At 39.5% G+C, this 19803-nt stretch overlaps 1 protein-coding gene across 3 annotated transcripts in view; it reads left to right on the top strand.

Annotated features, from left to right (window-relative positions):
* ZRANB3 (zinc finger RANBP2-type containing 3) overlaps nt 1-19803 on the top strand; it is a 334250-nt gene that overhangs the window by 260710 nt on the left and 53737 nt on the right. For all 3 annotated transcript variants that reach the window (NM_032143.4, NM_001286569.1, NM_001286568.2), the window contains 2 exons: nt 1368-1547; nt 4823-4975. In NM_032143.4, the coding sequence (NP_115519.2) occupies nt 1368-1547; nt 4823-4975 (333 nt within the window). The remainder of the gene's footprint in view (nt 1-1367; nt 1548-4822; nt 4976-19803) is intronic.

Below are 19803 nucleotides of genomic sequence, written 5' to 3'. Positions count from 1 at the left end.
AGTCTAGGACCTTTTGAAATTAATAATGTATGGGGCACTTACATTTTATTCAAGGCTGTGCTTCTGAAGACCTTATATAAATCAAGACTCATATACTTGAGGACTGATATCTCCATAGGAATAAAGGAAAGTAGAAAGGTCTTTGTTCTTGGTACTGTGAATCTTACATTATAGTTTAGCAGCTGCTTAGAGTGGTATTGATCTTGCCAACATATTTTCCCTTTATGCTTGTATAATCAAATGATGTTTTTTATAAAATTAAAGATGTCTCTCCTTAAATACTACTTTTTATTTTTTCAGCATTATTTCTAATATTCTGTGGCATTTTCAGTCCTAAATAGCAGTACAGTTTAATATATTTGTCTCTGTATTTTTATTACCTCTAACTTCTTTTTCAGAGACTGATTTTCAGTAAATTTTTCAGCTTGAGAACTAGTACCACCATTTAATTAATGCTAGCATGATTTTGTTATGTGACATGAAAATATTTTAAGTGAAAATAACATATCAAAATAATAGCATAGCAGTCACAAAAGTCACTCATAGGAGTTTGGTGCATATGAACAACAAACAGCATTGATTAAATAATACTCAAAAAAAGGCAGATATTTCTGTTTACCACCTAATGTCATTTTACTGCTATATGGCTATAGCATAAGCGTGGTTCACATTTCATTCAGCCTACCAACATTAAAGTCATGCATTTTTGGACACATTTTTTAGTTTGACACATTTTTTAGTTTGAGGATTTTGCATTATTTCATATATTGATTATAAAGCAAGACTTAGTTAATATTTTTATGTCACACTATTTCAAATTCATGAAAATGCAGTTGTACAGAAAATGCAATTGCATTGTATATATTGAGACATAGGCAGTAAATTTCAGGTCTTCGGAATATAACATCACAGGAAGAAAGTAGTATAACCAGAGACGTTGTTTTCTTGCTTTATAACATGACAGTGTGAGTTAGATGAAGAGGATGTAAATGCTCTCTGCCTGGTTGCTATAGATACCATATGTTGGAAATTGTATTCTCATTTATAAAGTATTTTATTAGATTTTCCAGTGGTAATGTGAATCCGTTCATCATCAGAGAATAAAGTGATTTAGTTTATATACTTACATCAAGCTGACTTTTGAAATTTTGAAATACCTTTCAAATGTGTTTTTTGTAGTTCACCTAGCTATGTTGCATTAAACATTCTTCATTTGCCTTTCATGAATTAAATCTTAATTTGGCCTAAAATAGACAACTAATTTGTTTTCAAGTCCTTCAGTGTTCTCCATTTAACATGTTCAGAAATACTTTATTATATATTGGCTGTATGTTACATTCTCAATTTATTTGCTTTATTTCACTTAGGGATTAACATTTACTGCAGCAAGTCATGTTGTATTTGCTGAGTTGTACTGGGACCCTGGACATATAAAACAAGCAGAAGACCGAGCTCACAGAATTGGCCAGTGCAGTTCTGTGAATATTCACTACCTTATTGCAAATGGAACCCTAGACACCCTTATGTGGGGAATGTTGAATCGCAAGGTAAAGCTTGAATTTAAATCAAGTTAGCAGCTTACTTACTATTAACCATAGCCAATGTGAGTTAAGAGGCTGAGTTTTAGTGTTTTCAGGCAAAGGATACTTAAGCACATCAAGATAATGATGATAATAGAGACCAAGTTAAGAAAAGGCTTCAGTAGTAGTACCTTGTCTGCTCTCCTCTGTAATAAGAGAGGCATGAACTTCCACGTACTCCTGTTATCTTCCAAGCCCTTCTACTACTTTAGAGGTACAATGATGGGGTTGGCTAGCAAGGAAACGTAATGTTTCAAGCCCCAAGTCCTTTGCGTAACCTAAGAATAAACCTTTTCTAGAAGAATTCTTGAGTTCCAAGCTAATTTTGGACAGAAGGTAGCCTGTACCCAGACTCTAGAAAATGTAGGAATGACATTGCTTGCTCTGTCCTCTCAGCTGTCTCATTTCCTCAGTCTTGACAATGTTTATAGAAAGGACTTGACTAAGGATTAGATGATTTCTGGCTGGGCGTGGTGGCTCATGCCTCTAATCCCAGCACTTTGGGAGGTCGAGATGGGTGGATCACCTGAGGTCAGGAGTTCGAGACTAGCCTGGCCAACATGGTGAACCCCTGTCTCTACTAAAAATACAAAAAAATTAGCTGGGCATGGTAGCAGGTGCCTGTAATCCCAGCTACTTGGGAGCCTGAGGCAGGAGAATTGCCTGAAGCTAGGAGGTGGAGGTTGCAGTGAGCTAAGATCGCACCATTGCAACAATTGCACTCCAGCCTGGGTGACAGAGCAAGACTCTGTCTCAAAAGAAAAAAAAAAGGGTTAGATTATTTCTGGGTTAGTTTGTTTGGGCAGCCATAACAAAGTACCAATCTATATTGGGTAGTTTATAAATAACAGAAATTTATTTCTCATACTTCTGGAGGCTAGAAGTCTGAGATTAGGATGCCAGTATGGTTGAGTTCTGGTGAGGGCCCTCTTCCAAGTTGCTGACTACTGCTTTCTCATTGTGGAAAGAGGGCAAGAAAGCTCTTTGGGGTCTCTTTTATAGGGGACTAAGCCCATTCATGAGGGCTCCACCCTCATGACCCAATCACCTCCCAAAAGCCCCACCTCCGAACACCATCAACATTGGGAGTTAGGATTTTAACATCTGAATTTGGGGGGGATACAAACATTCAGCCCATAGCACTGTTTTTCAATGAAATGTTTTTTAAGCACTGGATATAAATATTTAAAATGGCCGATCATATGTTGGTTAAGTTTCAAAGCATATAAATATTAGAATAAAAGTTTTTATGAAGAAAGTGAATAGTATAACTTCTCCAGTTAAACCTTTTCTCATTAAGCATGGAACCATTGACTGGGTAATGGATTATAATTTTGGATAATTATTGCTATGGTTTGAATGTTCATTCCCTCTAAAACTTACTTTGAAACTTAATCCCCACTGTGGCAGTATTGAGAGGTGGGCCATTAAGAGAGATGATTGACCTTCTTTCCCACCCTCTTCTAAAAAAAAGAAAAAAAATGATTGGGTCATGAGGGTTCTGCCCTTATGAATGGATTAATCCATTCATGGATTGAGGGATTAATGGGTTATCATAGGAGTGGGACTGGTGGCTTTATAGGAAGAGGAAGAGAGACCTAAGCTAGCACCACTCAGCCCCTTCCCCATGAGATGACCTGTGCTGTCTCAGAACTCCGCAGGTACCCACCAGCAAGAAGCCCTCACCAGATGTGGCCCCTCAACCTTAACTTCTCAGCTTCCATAAGAAATAAGTTCATTTTCTTTACACATTACACAATTTCAGATATTCTGTTATAAGCAAAAGAAAACAGACTAGATGTCAATGAAGAGTCAAACTGTAAAATATTTTAAGAGATTTATTCTGAGCCAAATATGAATGACAGTGGCTCATGACACAGCCCCAGGAGATTCTGAGAACTTGTGCCTTAGATGGTTGGGCTACAGCTTGGTTTTATGCAAGGTGGGGTGGAGGGAGGCATTGGTTCCAGATCATAGGTGGATTCAAAGATTTTCTGATTGGCAGTTGGTTGAAAGAGTTTATCTGAAGACTTGGAATACCTGGGTTAAGATAAGGAGTTGTGGAGACCAAGGTTCTTCTTAGGCAGGTAAAGCATCCAGGTAGCAGGCTTCAGACAGAATAGATTGTAAATGTTTCTTATTAGACTCTTTTTTTTTTTTTTAAGAGATGGAGTCTTGCTCTATCGCCCAGGCTGGAGTATGGTGGCGTGATCTCAGCTCACTGCAATCTCTGCCTCCTGGGTTCAAGCGATTCTCCTGCCTCAGCCTCCTGAGTAGCTGGGACTACAGGCGCCCGCCACCACGCCCAGCTGGTTTTTGTATTTTTAGTAGAGATGGGGTTTTACCTTATTGGCCAGGCTGGTCTCGAACTCCTGACCTTGTGATCCGCCCACCTCAGCCTCCCAAAGTGCTGGGATTACAGGCATGAGCCACCGCTCCTGGCCTCTTATTAGACTTTAAAAGGTGCCAGACTCCTTAGTTAATTCTTTCCTGGATCAGGATAAAGACCTGGAATGGAAGGGGGATTCTCTACAGAATGTAAATTTTTCCCACAAAAGACAGCTCTGCAGAGCCATTTCATACAAAAGAAATATGTTAGGGAGTAAAAGGTTTCAATTTGTTTTAGGGCCTGCTATCTGTCATGTTGGCATCTTGTTGCTACAAAGAGTCTGTTTTGTCAGCCTTAAGATCTCTATTTTAATGTTAATGCTGGTCAGCTTTTTTGAGACAGAGTCTCACTGTGTCACACAGGAGTGCGGTGGCAGGATCTCAGCTCACTGCAACCTCCGCCTCCTGAGTTCAAGGGATTCTTCTGCCTTACCCTCCCAAGGAGCTGGGATCACAGGCGCCTGCCACCACGCCCGGCTAATTTTTCTATTTTTAGTAGAGATGGGATTTCACCATGTTGGGCAGGCTGGTCTCAAACTCCTGACCTCAGGTGATCGCCCCCCTTGGCCTCCCAAAGTACTGGGATTACAGGCATGAGCCACTGCACCTGGCGTGTTTCAGGTTTACTTTAGAATGCTCTTGGCCAAGAGGAGGAATCCATTAAGTTGGTTGGGAGGCTTATAATTTTATTTTTGGTTTACAAAGATAATTATATTACTAAAGCCCATGATATGTTGGAACAGTAAGATTTTCTTAGTGGGTAGCTTATGATTTAAATGCAAAATCAAGTTACTTAGTGAATTTCAGCTGTGAGGTGAACTGCTCAAAAATTCATTTACTTTTTCCTCTTGTAGGCTCAAGTTACAGGGAGCACACTGAACGGTAGGAAAGAAAAAATTCAGGCTGAGGAAGGTGATAAGGAAAAATGGGATTTCCTGCAGTTTGCTGAAGCTTGGACTCCAAATGACAGTTCTGAAGAGTTAAGGAAGGAAGCTTTGTTCACTCACGTAAGATTATATGCCTTACTCTTTTCTATTTTTTTTAGTATCCTGAAACTATAACTTTGTATGTATGGTTTTAAATAGCAACTCTCAATTATTTATGGTGTTGAAAGGAGACTTCACATAAAGCTGGAAACCCTCTTAGAGCCAAAAATTAATATTGTTTTCCAACAGTTTTAGTACTTACTGTTCAGCTCCTCGGATAAACAAACTGAATAAAATTCAGAGTTCAAAAGAAAATATAGGAGGCTATCTTTATGACACTGAGAATAGGGAAAGGTATATTAAATGTGCCTTAAAATGTGCAAATAGTAAAGAAAAAGATTCAGATATTTGAGTATATCGAAATCACAGGTTTTGTTATACAAAATGTCCTGTATATAAATCACAGACTCAGTAAAGATATTTGCATTACAATGTCCAAAGTATATGAAGAATTTATACAACTCAATTAGTAAAGCATAAACAAGTCAACAGAAAAATAGGCAAAGAGCTGGGCATGGTGGCTCACACCTGTAATTGCAGCACTTTGGGGGGCTGAGGCAGGCGGATCACCTGAGGTCAGGAGTTTGAGACCAGCCTAGTCAACATCGTGAAACCCTGTCTCTACTAAAAATACAAAAATTAGCTGGGTGTGTTGGTGTCTGCCTGTAATCCCAGCTACTCAAGAGGCTGAGGCACAAGAATCGCTTGAACCACCTGAAGGCAGAGGTTCCCGTGAGCTGAGATTGCATTGCTGCACTCCAGGCTGGGCGATAGAGTGAGACTGTGTCTCTGTCTCAGAAAAAAAAAAAAAAAATAGGCAAAGAATATGAGCATCAGAGGACACCTGAATAGCCAATAAACATGAAAAGAAGCTCTACCTCACTAAAATAAGGCAAATTGTAAAGATAATTTTCCCCTTTACTATTTATTAGTAAGTAAGTAGCGGTATAACACTTTCAAAGCATGTGACCCCCCGTTCCCAAAACTTTTTACTGAGTGTTTTTAGCGTTCATTAATGATATTTGCATGAATCACCTTTGAAATGGTTTTTCTTTTCTTTTCTTTTCTTTTTTTTTTTTTTTTTGAGACAGAGTCTTGCACTATTGCCCTGGCTGGGTGCAATGGCATGATCTCAGCTGGCTGCAACCTCTGTCTCCCGGGTTCAAGCGATTCTCCTGCCTCAGTCTCCCGAATAGGTGAGATTACAGGTGCCCACCACCATGCCTGACTAATTTTTTGTATTTTTAGTAGAGACAGGGTTTCACTATGTTGGCCAGGCTGGTCTCGAACTCCTGACCTTGTGATCTGCCCACCTCGGCCTTCCAAAGTGCTGGGATTACAGGCTTGAGCCACCGCGCCCGGCCTGAAATGGTTTTTCTAATTCCATCATTGCTTCTATATTTATTAGTTGGCATTTTTCTGTAAAGAAGACATTTACCTCCCCACTTTAAAAAAATACCACTATGGACCAGGCGTGGTGGCTCACAGACCTGTAATCCAGCACTTTGGGAAGCTGAGGTGGGTGGATCAGTTGAGGTCAGGAGTTCGAGATCAGCCTGGCCAACACGGTGAAACCCCGTTTCTACTAAAAAAATACAAAAAAAAAAAAAAATTAGCCGGGCGTCATGGCACATGCCTGTAATCCCAGCTACTTGGGAGGCTGAGGCAGGAGAATCACTTAAACCCAGGAACTGGAAGTTTTGGTGAGCCGAGATCACGCCACTGCACTCCAGCCTGGGTGACAGAGTGAGACTCTGTCTAAAAAAAAAAAAAATTACTATGAACTTAGGGGTTTCAATTATTATTATTTAATGTGTTATAATCCTTTACCTTTTTTTCTTTTTAAACTTAGATCTGGCTAATGAAAGCTCCTTTAAACTGGCTCCTTTTTAAAAAAACACATCCTTATAATTCTCTGAGTGCTTCCTTGCTTTCTGGCACACAATATATAACAGGTTCACCTAAATTTTTTTGCTCCAGACTTGGAATTGGCCATTTCTTTAAGGAGCACTTACTCCCTTTACTGTGGAGTGATATTTAGAAATTAGGATTTTTGTTGTTGTTGTTCCTCTGGGCTATCGTTGCTTCTAGGCTCTTTTCAATATACAGAATATATTCTCACACATATGTAAGGATACATGCACAAATATCTTTACTGCGTCATTTTTTAGAATGCAAAAAAATGGAAACAACCAAAATGCCCATCAATAGAAGAATGGATATGTAGATTGTCATATCTTATAAAATGCTATTTAGAAGTTAAAGTGAATGAGTTATATTTATATGTATCAACAGGATGAGATCTTGAAAACACAAAGTTGCTTTAAAAACACATAGCACACACAGTATATTCTATATTTATGAGTACATATATATAGTAAAACATAAACACACATTGGAAGAATACATATCAAATTTATAAAATTGGTTACCTCTGGGAGAGAAGAATGGATATGGGGAAGAATAAAAATGTGATAGCAACTTCAGCAAAAATGTTTTTATTTCTTTTATTTTATAAAAAGATCAGAAGTACAATATTAATATTTGTAAATTTTGAATGGTGGATATATAGATTTTTGTTATATTCACTATACATTTCTATATGTAAAATCCCCCAGTCTCACCTCTAACAAATGCTATATGTAAAATCCCCCAGTCTCACCTTATAACAGATTATTTATAAATTTAATAAGAAATAATATATTAGAGAAATTTGTAATTTATAATGTCTGCTGTTTCCTAGCCTTTTTTTTTTTTAATTCTTATTTTTTTAAAAGACAGGCTCTCTGCCTATCACCCAGGTTGGAGTCCAGTGGCATGATTATAGCTCACTGCAGCTTCAAAGTCCTGGACTCAGGAGATTCTCCCATCTCAGCCTGCTGAGTAGCTAGGACCACAGGCATGTGCTACCATTTCTGGCTAATTTTTTATGTTTCATAGAGACAGAGTCTCACTACGTGGCTCAGGCTGGTCTCAAACTTCTGGCCTCAAGCAATCCTCCCACCTCTGCCTCCCAAAGCACAGAGATTAGAAGCATGAACCGCCACCACTCTTGGCCTTCTAGTCTTTTTGAGGTAATATGGTGTCAAAGTTATAGAGAGTTTAATTTTAATTTTTCAAAGAACTGATCAGAAATTATAGGAATAAAATTAATATTTACATTTTTCTGATAATACAAAATTAAAAATTTAATGTGAAGTTTAATTGCATAAAAATACATTATTTTATGTAGAATTGTATTAAATTTTTAATTATCTTATTTGGAGGTCTAGTACAATTTTTTTCTAGAATATTAGAATGTAATTCCGTCAAATATTGCTAAAAATTAGATTATTTGTAAGATTTTCTTTTAATTTAAAAAAGAGTTTTCTTTGTTTTTTTTTTTTTTTTTTTTTGGAGATGGAGTCTCACTCTGTCGCCAGGCTGGAGTGCAGTGGCACAATCTTGGCTCACTGCAACCTCCACCTCCTAGGTTCAAGCAATGCTCCTGCCTCAGCCTCCCAAGTAGCTGAGACAACAGGCACACGCCACCACGCCTGGCTAATTTTTTGTATTTTATTAAAGACGGGGTTTCACCCTGTTGCCCAGGCTGGTCTCCAGCTCCTGAGCTCAGGCAATCTGCCCACCTCAGCCTCCCAAAATGCTAGGATTACAGGTATGAGCTACTGTGCCCAGCCAAGGTTTCTTTCAACAATGCTTATTATATTATATTCTGGTCTACAATAAAGTCAATAGAAATCCTAGCTATTTTAAAAATATATAAATAAATCTATGATTTGTAGCTGTTCTTTCTCTAAAATTTCCTATCAAACTGTGTTTACAAGTTCATTTCTAAGCTAGATATTAAGAATTTGAAATAAATCTTCCTACATATGTGTATGTTTATTGTTTTCAAAAGTTTATCTGAAGAAAAATATATATTTGTATACACAATTTTAAAAAATCACCCATACCAAATTTTACTTTCTTGAGTTAGGTATGTGTCTTTCATAGTTTAGTGTTGTCTTATAGATTTTCCAATACTTGTCTTTATACAGACGCAGTTTGATGTAAATTGGAATCTTAGAATGTAGGGATCTTTTGTTGGTTTTGGTTAGTTTTGCTTTGTTGGTATTTGCTTATTTATTGTATGGCCAACAAGTGAAGTGTGCTTTGATTGACTTTAGGTGGGTGTGCCCTCTCACCACTCTGTCTATACCCTCCCAGCTTCATGCAGTTTAAGAAATGTTCAATTTGTTGGCAGGTACTAAGGAAATTTAGTCTACTGATTAACTTATTTTTCTTCTGAACATTGCCAGAATTTCAGCATTTCCAACGGGAATTTTCCTATGAATTTGATTTATTTTTTATCCATTTACAAAGCCTTTTAAAGGACATTTCCAGCATCTCCATTTTTAGAAAACTTTCAACTTTCAATTAAACTTTCCTAGATTAACCAAACTTGCCATTTGACATCAAAAACTTCTTTGACTCAAAAATTTTTATCAGTTCTAATTGGATGGTTTTTAACAGCTTGTGGATATTTCAGTATATTATTGAATATTATATATTCAAGTATATATATACTACATATATAGTATATAATATATATATCAAGTGTATATATAGAATAAAAATACAAAAATACAAAATCTTTATATATAGTATACAATATATATGTCAAGTGTATATATAGTATATATTATATATATCAAATATACTTGAATATATATAGTATATATATAGAATATATAGTATATATATACTATAAACTTGAATATATATAGTATATAGAATATATATAGTTTGTATATACTATATATATTCAAGTATACTTGATATATATACTTGAATATATAATAGTCAATAATATATTCAAGTATATATATAAATATGTTCAAGTATATATAAATTCAAGTATATATAGTACATATATAGTACATATAGTATAGTATATATAGTACATATATACTATATATACTTGAATATATATATACTTGAATATATATTATTCAAGTATTTGAATAATACCTTAAATGAAACTAATCCACACAAATGTATGAGTCACAATTCTTTACCCATGCTAGATGTATTTACATTTTTTAAGAAATTACAGTATTTATTAACCCAAATGAAACTCAAATTGAAGTCCAACTCAAGTGAAAAGAAAAAATTCCACCACCACAAGGAAAGATACTTTTGCACAGCCCAGTTGGCTGTCCCATAAGTAAGCAGTCTTGCCTTGGAGTCCATCACCAGGGTCACTGCCTAAGATGTGGTCAGTCCAATTTCCACTGCTTCTTCCTTTCTTCTACATCTGAATGTGTCTGACTTCTAAGTACTATTTTGGCTTTGAGGTGTTTTGATTTCTCTACAGTGGCTTCCATTGAGTGATAATGTAGGTCATCTCCAGGCAGGAGAATGGTATAGATAATATTAGTGTATGTTATTTCTAAGCAACGAAAGGCTGTTTCTGAATAAAGCAAGCTGAGTGGAGTGTTCAAATAGGGAGCCTCCTTCTCTCTCTGGTTTTCATTTTGCTGCCTTCATCTAACAAGTATCTCTTCCTCTAGCTCTAGCTGTGGGAAATTGGGGCCCTTCCCTTAACCTCTTTAGGGCCTTTTCTTTTCCTCTTTTGCTCCTTTCTCCAATAATCAGCAACATTATTTATCTAGCCATTTGAGTCACTAGATTACTAGATGGCGTCTAAGCCCCCTTTCATCCATTATATATAAACTATAAAGTATCCTAAGAGAATCTTGGTGCATAAATGATTCATAGGTGAGCCAAAAAAAAAAAGGACTCTAATTTAGTATGGGTAATGAGTCCTGCTTGTGGTTAGGACATGTCTGCTTTCTGGCTGGGTGCAGTGGCTCACGCCTGTAATCCCAGCACTTTGAGAGGCCGAGGCGGGCGGATCAGCTGAGGTCGAGAGTTCAAGACCAGCCTGACCAATATGGAGAAACCCCATCTCTACTAAAAATACAAAATTAGCCGGGCGTGGTGGCACATGCCTGTAATCCCAGCTACTCAGGAGGCTGAGGCAGGAGAATCGCTTGAACCCGGGAGGCGGAGGTTGTGCTGAGCTGAAATTGATTGCATCTTTGCACTCCAGCCTGGGCAACAACAGCGAAACTCCATCTCAAAAAATAAATAAATAAAAATATGTAGAATGGTTGCTTGTCTGCTGCAAAAGATTGTATGTAGTTAGGAGAGCTCTTTAGCATTATTATGAAATTTTAAAATATGCCCTCAGGCCAGAGCGGTGGCTCTTGCCTGTAATCCAAGCACTTTGAGAGGCTGAGTCTCCATTGAGCCCAGATGTTTGAGACCTGCCTGGGCAACATGGCTAGACCTTGTCTCATTAAAAAAAAATAAAAATAAGAAAATTAGCTGGGCATGGTGGTACACACGTGTAGTCCCAGCCACTTGGGAGTCTGAGGTGGGAGGATTGCTTGAGCTCAGGAGGATGATTGCACCACTGTACTCCAGCCTGGGCAACAGAGTGAGACCCTGTCTCAAAAACAAACAAAAACGAAACAAAGTTCTCAAAATTCAAAAAGAAAACACGTTTTTAAATTAAATGCCAACATTGTATGAAATGTTTGCTTTGTTGTGGTAAAAAGTGCAAGTTAAAAATGTCTCGTATATACAAAAAATAAACTTTTTTTCCTGCATATTGTCCAGTTGAATACATGGTAACAGCAAAAAGAAAGTTGACCACAGGAGCTGTGGCACTTGTGAAATCTAAATCCCTCTTGTCCAAAATCTCTTCTTTCTGAATATGGTAAAGAACTGGTTTCTTGGGGCAGCACATCTTAAATGAGAATATTTATTTAATATATATTTTAGGAATTCAAAGCACTTTGTAATTATTATGTAATTAGTCTGCATAATAGCCTAATTGATAAGGACATGAGGGCAGCCTCATTGTTACAGATAGAGACATACAAATGTCTATGTCGTAGTGTTGTAGGAAAACCCGGGTTCTTGTCACACGACCAAGATAATTTAGGCATGCGGATACATTGTAGGGTGAGAAGGGCAGCATTTATTGTGTGAAAAGAAATAAAAGGGAAACAGGGACTCTCAGCAAAGGTGAGAGTCCTGCTAGCAGGCTTTGCGCTTCACAGATTGAATCCCCTTTTACCACCCAGGAACAGGAGAGGGCAGGCTCCTCCTTCCTGCAATGGGTGCTAACTCCCCAAGGCTCCACCACATCCTCCCAATGCACAGGCAGGTTGGAGATTCTCCAGGGAGCCCTTTTTACTTCACTGTCTCAATAGCTTACATAACATTATGTTATTATTAGACATTTGTCTTATTTACTTTTATGACTTTTAATACACTCAATAATAATGACTAACATCTATTGAGTTGTTATTTCTTGCAGCCACTGTGCTAAGCCCTTAACATTCAGGATCTTTCTTTAAAAAAAAAACTTACTTAAATAAAGATGGGATCTCACCATGTTGTCCAGGCTGGTCTTGAACTCCTAGGCTCAAGCAGTCCTCCCACTTCAGCCTCCCAAAGTGTTGGGATTACAAGCATGAGCTACCACTCCAGGCTCATGATCTTATTTAACCTTCAGAGCAACATCATGAGGAAGATACTATTAACTTGCCCCACTAAATCTGAGAAAGGTTACATAATCTGCCCGAGGTCATACAGCCAATAAGTGGCACAGCTGGGGCAGAAAGTGCCAGGCCTTTCTGCTTCAAGGTCTGTTCTCATAACTTTGCCAATCCATACTAGGTGCATTAGAGTTAGCATATCATGGGCCTTCAATAAATGTATGTGGAATGAATACAACATTGAAAAACTTCAATTTGGTTTAGCCAAGTTTCTGGGATGTGAGCCACATACAGGACATTCAAAGATCATTCATTATATAAACATCTATTAAGATTATATGAAATACAAGTCAAAACCACAATGAGATTATCACATCACACCCACTAGGATGACTAAAATAAAAAAGACAAGTATTGGCAATGATGTAGAGAAATTAGAAGACTCATATATTGTTGATTGGAATGTAAAATGATGCAACCATTTTGTAAAACCATCTGGGAGTTCCTCAACATGTTAGACATAAAGTCACCATATGACCCAGCAATCGTACATCCAAGAGAATTGAGAACACCTGTCCACACAAAAACTTGGACATGGACATTATGGCAGCATGATTCATAGTAGCCAAAAAAAGTTAGACCAAAAAAAGTTATAAATTGATGAATGGGTAAACAAAGTGTGGTTAATCTATATGTTACCAGAAAGGGGTCTCGATCCAGACCTCAAGAGAAGGTTATTGGATCTCATGCAAGAAGGAATTTGGGGTGAGTCTACAAAGTAAAGTGAAATGACATTTATTAGAGAAGTAAAGAAACTAAAGAATGGCTACTCTATAGGCAGAGCAGTGGCATGGGCTGCTTGACTGAGTATGCTTATGGTTATTCCTTGATTATATGTGAAACAAGGGGTAGATTAGTCATGAGTTTTCCAGGGTTGCAAGTTCCTGGAACTGAAGGTTCCTCCCCTTTTTAGACCATATAGGGTAACTTCCAGATGTTTCCATGGCATTTGTAAACTCTTTTGGTGCTGGTGGGAATATCTTTTAGCATGTGAATGCATTATAATTAGCATATAATGAGCTGTGAGGATGACCAGAGGTCTCTTTCATTACCATCTTGGTTTTGGTGGGTCTTGGCTGGCTTCTTTATTGCATGCTGTTATATCAGTAGGGTCTTTGGGACCTGTGTGTTGTGAAACCAGTCCTGCCAAGCTCCTGTCTCATCCTATGACTAAGAATGCCTAACATCCTTGAAATGCAGCCCAGCAGGTCTTGGCCTCATTTTACCCTGCCCCTGTTCAAGATGGAGTTGCTCTGGTTCAAATGCCTCTGACACATGCAGTGGAATATTATTTGGCCTTAAAAAGGATACATGCACTGGGCCTGGTGGCTCACGCCTATAATCCCAGCACTTTGGGAGACTGAGGCGGGTGGGTCACCTGAGGTTGGGAGTTCGAGGCCAGCCTGACCAACATGGAGAAACCCCATCTCTACTAAAAATACAAAATTAGCTGGGCCTGGTGGCTTGCGCCTATAATCCCAGCTACTCGGGAGGCTGAGACAGGAGAATTGTCTATACCCGGGAGGCAGAGGTTGCAGTGAGCTGAGATTGTACCACTGCACTCTAGCCTGGGCAACAGAGTGAGACTCTGTCTCAAAAACAAACAAACAAAAAAAAGATACATGCTACACCATGGATGAACCCTGAAAATTTGCTAAGTGAAAGAAGCAGGACATAAAGGCCACTTCTTGTATGGCTCTTTTTATTCAGATTAGCCAGAATAGGCAAATCCATAGAGACACAAAATAGACTAGTACTTGCTAAGAGATTCAAGGAGAGGATGGGCAGTGACTGCTGTCAAAGAACAAAATTTAGCCTGGACAACATGGCAAAACCCTGTTTTTATAAAAAATACAAAAATCAGGTGGGCATGGTGGCACATGCCTGTAGTCCCAGCTACTCAGGAGGCTGAGGTGAGAGGATCACCTGAGCCCAGGGCGGTCGAGTCTGTAGTGAGCCGTGATTTCTCCACTGCACTCCAGCCTGGGTGACAAAGTAAGACCCTGCCTCAAAAAAAAAAAAAAAAAAATTTTAATGAGTTGACCTTTAAATATCTGATTGGGTTTTTTTTGTTTGAGGAGGGTTGTTTTTGTTTTTAAGAGACAGACTCTCACTCTATTGCCCAGGATTGTTCAGTGGAGAGGTCATAGTTCACTGCAGCCTCGAAATCCTGGTCCAGTGATCCCCCTGCCTCAGCCTCCCAAGTAGCCAGGACTATCATCATGCCACCATGCCAGGTTAATTTTTTATTTTTTGTAGAGATGGGGGTCTCCTTATGTTGCTCAGGCTGGTCTCAAATTCCTCAGCTCAAGCAGTCCTCTTGCCTCAACCTTACAAACTGTTGGGATTACAGGCGTTAGCCACTGCACCTGGCCCTGATTTGTTTTTATTAGCAAGTCATGAATTGGGCAGCATCCTGTTTATGAACTAGAATGATGCTTCACTAAGCTGAGCAGAGCAGAGTGGGTGAGTTTTATAGGCAGAAAAGGAGAAACAAGGAACAGAAAAGGAAGCAGAAACAAGGAAGGAAAAGCAGATTAATAGTTTCAAAATTATTTTCTTTGTAGGGGTAAAGCAGAGAGAACTTCCTCATCATGCTGGTTCAGGTTGACTGGGCCCCTTTTGATTGCCATGAATCCCTGGGGGCTGTGTGTGTGTGTGTGTGTCTGTGTGTGTGTGTGTGTTGTTTTGTTTTGTTTTTCTAAACTGGCCTGTTTTTAAGTTCAGTTTGATTAAGTGGCACCTAGCATGTGTTACTCCATCCTGGTTTGGTCTGGTCTTTTGGGTCCTAGTGTAGGAGCTGAGACTAAAACAATGGCTTCACATACATTTTATTTAACATTGCCTAATGAGTATAGGGTTTCTTTCTGAGGGTAATGAAAATGTTCTACGGCCGGATGCGGTGGCTCACACCTGTAATCCCAGCACTTTGGGAGGCCGAGGCAGGCAGATCACCAGGTCAGGATTTCAAGACCAGCCTGGCCAACATGGTGAACTCCCATCTCTACTAAAAATACAAAAAAATTAGCTAGGTGTGGCGGTGTGTGCCTGTAGTCCCAGCTGCTCGGGAGGCTGAGGCAGGAGAATGGTGTAAACCCGGGAGGTGGAGGTTGCAGTGAGCTGAGATCGCGCCACTGTACTCCAGCCTGGGCGACAGAGCAAGACTCTGTCTCAAAGAAAAAAAAAAGAAAATGTTCTACAATTAAACAGGGGTGATGGTTGCCAAAGTCTGAATATACTAAAATCATTGAATTGGACACTATAAAAGGGTGAATTTTATGGTATATGGATTATATCTCAATAAAGCTGTTTTTTGTTTTGTTTTTTTCAAGACTGAGTCTCACTCTGTTGCTCAGTCTGGAGTGCAGTAGTATGATCTTGGCTCACTGCAACCTCCGCCTCCCAGGTTCAAGTGATTCTCCCGCCTCAGCCTCCCAAGTAGCTGGGATTATAGGCGTGAGCCACGACACCTGGCCAAAGCTGTTTTTTTTTTAAAAGACTATATGCTAAATTTTGAGAATGCGAAGATAAGGAAAATAGCTAACTTTCTTTTGGGGCTTACTCTTTAGTTAGGAAAAAACAGTTGTAAACAAATCATTTTAATGCAATACGATAAATATGAAAATAGAGACATGTAAGCCAGGCTCTGGGAACACAGGACAGAATAAATAACTACCTGGAGCATTTGAGAAAGTTTCTGTTAGGAAATATCTGAGCTGGATTTTGAAGGATGAATTCAGAGGCAGTAGGTCCAATTTCAGGCAGAGGGAACACCAAAAGCATGCCTAAAAGCCCAGAGATATGAACAAATATTAATTGTTCTGAGAATGCAAAATCTACACAAATATGTGAGCTTAGGGCACATGAGAAGTGAGTTAAAGGAGAGGAAGCCTAAAACTTTAGCAGTAACCAGTTGGAGAGGAACTCACACTTGCCATGCCAAAAAGTGAGACCTGATTCTGGAAGTATGTAGTGTCATGAGATGTTTTTAAGCAGATAAATAACATGATCAGATATCTGTCTTCAAAAGATAGTCCTAATGGTAGTGTGAAAAACAAATGGAAGGGTGAAGAGACAGAAGTTCTTGGAGGCAGTGCTACTTGGGAATGGATTACAGTCATACACCACATAATAATGTTTTGGTCAACTACGATCACATATGCAATGGAAGTCTCATAAGGTTATAATGGAGCTGAAAAGTTCCTATCACCTGGTGAGGTTGTAGCCATAGTAACATGGTAGCACAATGTATTACCCTTTCTATGTTTAGATACACAAATGCTCACCATGTGATACAGTTACCTATAGTATTCAGTACTGTAACTGCTGTACAGGTTTATAGTCTAGGAGTAACAGGCTATACCAGGTAGTCTAGGTGTATAGTATGCTATACCATCTAGGTTTGTGAAGTACACTCTATGATGTTGGTACAACTGCAAAATCACCTAAAGATACATTTCTCGGAGTGTGTCTGTATCTCCGTTGTTAAGCAAAGCATAGTATAGTCTCCCATCTAGTTTCAGCCTATGGTGAAGGGATCTCTCTCTCTCTCTCCACTCCCTGTCCAGGCTTTCTCCCCCTGATTTTTAGAGCCTGAGAACTTGGTTGGGTCACAGTTCAAGGTAGGTGAGTTACTGTTCCCCCAGGAGGCATGCCTCTCCTTTGCTTTCTGCTTCCACTGTGAGCACAGCAAACAAGCCTGCGTTGGCAGGCCCTACCACCACCTCTGCCGCTAGATCTGTGCTGACAAGTTAGGAAGTCTACTTTTGACCTTGGGTTCTAGCTGGGTTCTTCAATATAGCTTTTACCAGAATTTTACTTTGGTACTATCAGGCACTTACAGGTCTACTAATAAAGCCAGTTCCTTTTTATTCATGAGGCTATTGGTATGTATAAAGCCCCTTTGTCAAGGATTCCTAGAGGGGATTTGAGGCACTATAACCACCCTGAATTCCTAATAGTGGTAGTGACAATAGAGAGGCAAAAAATGCCAGACATTTCAGCAGTAGAATCAATAAAATGAGACCTGAGTGGAATCCTATCTAATAGCAGCAGTGCAAAAAGAGTAGAAGGGATTGAAGCAGGCACTTAAGGAAAACACCACAGCCAACAGCATGCAGGTAGATAAGGAGAGGACAAATTGAAACAACAGAAAGAGATCTAATTTAGTCTAAAACTGGAGATTTCCATGCAGAGGACTTTATAGTTAATTTGGATGAGCAGTGAAGAGCCAAAAGATTGTGGTGGTAGAAGAGGAGCTGGCTTCAGGACAGAGGTGAAGGGTTCACTCAGGACATCTTGAGTTTGAGGTGTCTCTGAACCTCAGCTGTTGTCCAAGAGTCATTTGGAGCTCAGCCCTAGAGCTTAAAGAGAAATAATGGTACATAGGTACACACTAGACATAAGTGGATTAATTTAACCCCCTGAGTTACATTCTAATAATCTATATGTTATATGATATTTTGCTATAAATTCTCATTGTCCTTATTGGAAGAGACAGCCATTCCCAAAGGCATTTGCATATACTACTTTTGATGTCATGGGATTTTTTTCTACAAAATAATCTTTTTAATCTTTTCTTTATATTTTTTAACTTTTATTTTAGGTTTGGGGGCACATGGGAAGGTGACACATAGGTAAACATGTGTCACAGGGGTTTGTTGTACATATTATTTCATCACCCAGGTATTAAGCCCAGTACCCAATAGTTATCTTTTTTGCTCTTCTTCCTCATGCAACCTCCCCTCTCAAGTAGACCCTAGTATCTGTTGTTTCCTTTTTTGTGTTCATAAGTTCTTATTATTTAGCTCCCATTTTGTATTAGTCCATTTATGCTGCTGATAAAGACATACCTGAGACTGGGAAGAAAAAGAGGGTTTTTTTGTTTGTTTGTTTCTTTTGTTTTTTTGAGACGGAATCCTGCTCTGTCGCCAGGCTGGAGTGCAGTGGCACGATCCAGGCTCAATGCAGCCTCCGCCTCCTGGGTTCAAGCAATTCTCCTGCCTCAGCCTCCCGAGTAGCTGGGACTACAGGCACACACCACCACACCCAGCTAATTTTTGTATTTTTAGTAGAGACGAGGTTTCACCATGTTGGCCAGGCTGGCCTCAAACTCCTGACCTTGTGATCCACCCACCTCAGCCTCCCAAAGTGCTGGGATTACAGGTGTGAGCCACCATGCCCAGCGGAAAAAGAGGTTTAATTGGAATCACAGTTCCACATGGCTGAGAAGGCCTCAGAATCATGGCAGGAGGAGAAAGGCACTTCTTACATGTTGGCGGCAAGAGAAAATGAGAAGGAAGCAAAAGAGGAAACCCCTGATAAAACCATCGGGTCTCATGAGACTTATTCACTATCACAAGAATAGCGCAGGAAAGACTGGCCCCCATAATTCAATTACCTACCCTTGTGTCCCTCCCACAACACATGGGAATTCTGGGAGATACAATTCAAGTTGAGATTTGGGTGGGGACACAGCCAAACTATATCATTCCGCCCCTGGCCCCTCCAAATCTCATGTCCTTACATTTCAAAACCAATTATGCTTTCCCAAAAGTCCCCCAACATCTTAACTCATTTCAGCATTAACCCAGAAGTCCACAGTCCAAAGTCTCATCTGAGACAAGGCAAGTCCCTTCTGCCTATGAGCCTATAAAATCAAAAGCAAGCTAGTTACTTCCTAGATACAATGGGGGTACAGGTTAAATACAGCTATTCCAAATGGAAGAAATTGGCCAAAACAAAGGGGATACAGGGCCCATGCAAGTCTGAAATCGAGTGAGGCAGTCAAATTTTAAAGCTCCAAAATGATCTCCTTCAACTCCAGGTCTTACATCCAGGTAACACTGATGCAAAAGGTAGGTTCCCATGGTCTTGGGCAGTACTGCCCCTGTGGCATTGTAGGGTACAGCCTCCCTCACGGCTGCTTTCACAGGCTGGCATTGAGTGTCTATGGCTTTTCCAGGAGCATGGTACAGGCTGTCAGTGGATCTACCATTCTGGGGTCTGGAGGACAGGTGGCCCTCTTTTCACAGCTCCACTAGGCAGTGCCCTAGTAGGGACTCTGTGTGAGGACTCCAACCCCACATTTCCCTTCTGCACTGCCCTAGCAGAGGCTCTCCATGAGGGCCCCAACCCTGCAGCAAACTTGCCTAGGCATCCAGTCATTTCCATACATCTCCTGAAATCCAGGCGGAGGTTCCCAAACTTCAATTCTTGACTTCTGTGCACCCACAG

Source organism: Homo sapiens, chromosome 2 (genome assembly GCF_000001405.40).
Source record: "Homo sapiens chromosome 2, GRCh38.p14 Primary Assembly".
In the NCBI taxonomy this organism is placed as follows: domain Eukaryota; kingdom Metazoa; phylum Chordata; class Mammalia; order Primates; family Hominidae; genus Homo; species Homo sapiens.
This window is presented reverse-complemented; position numbering and strand designations above follow the sequence as displayed.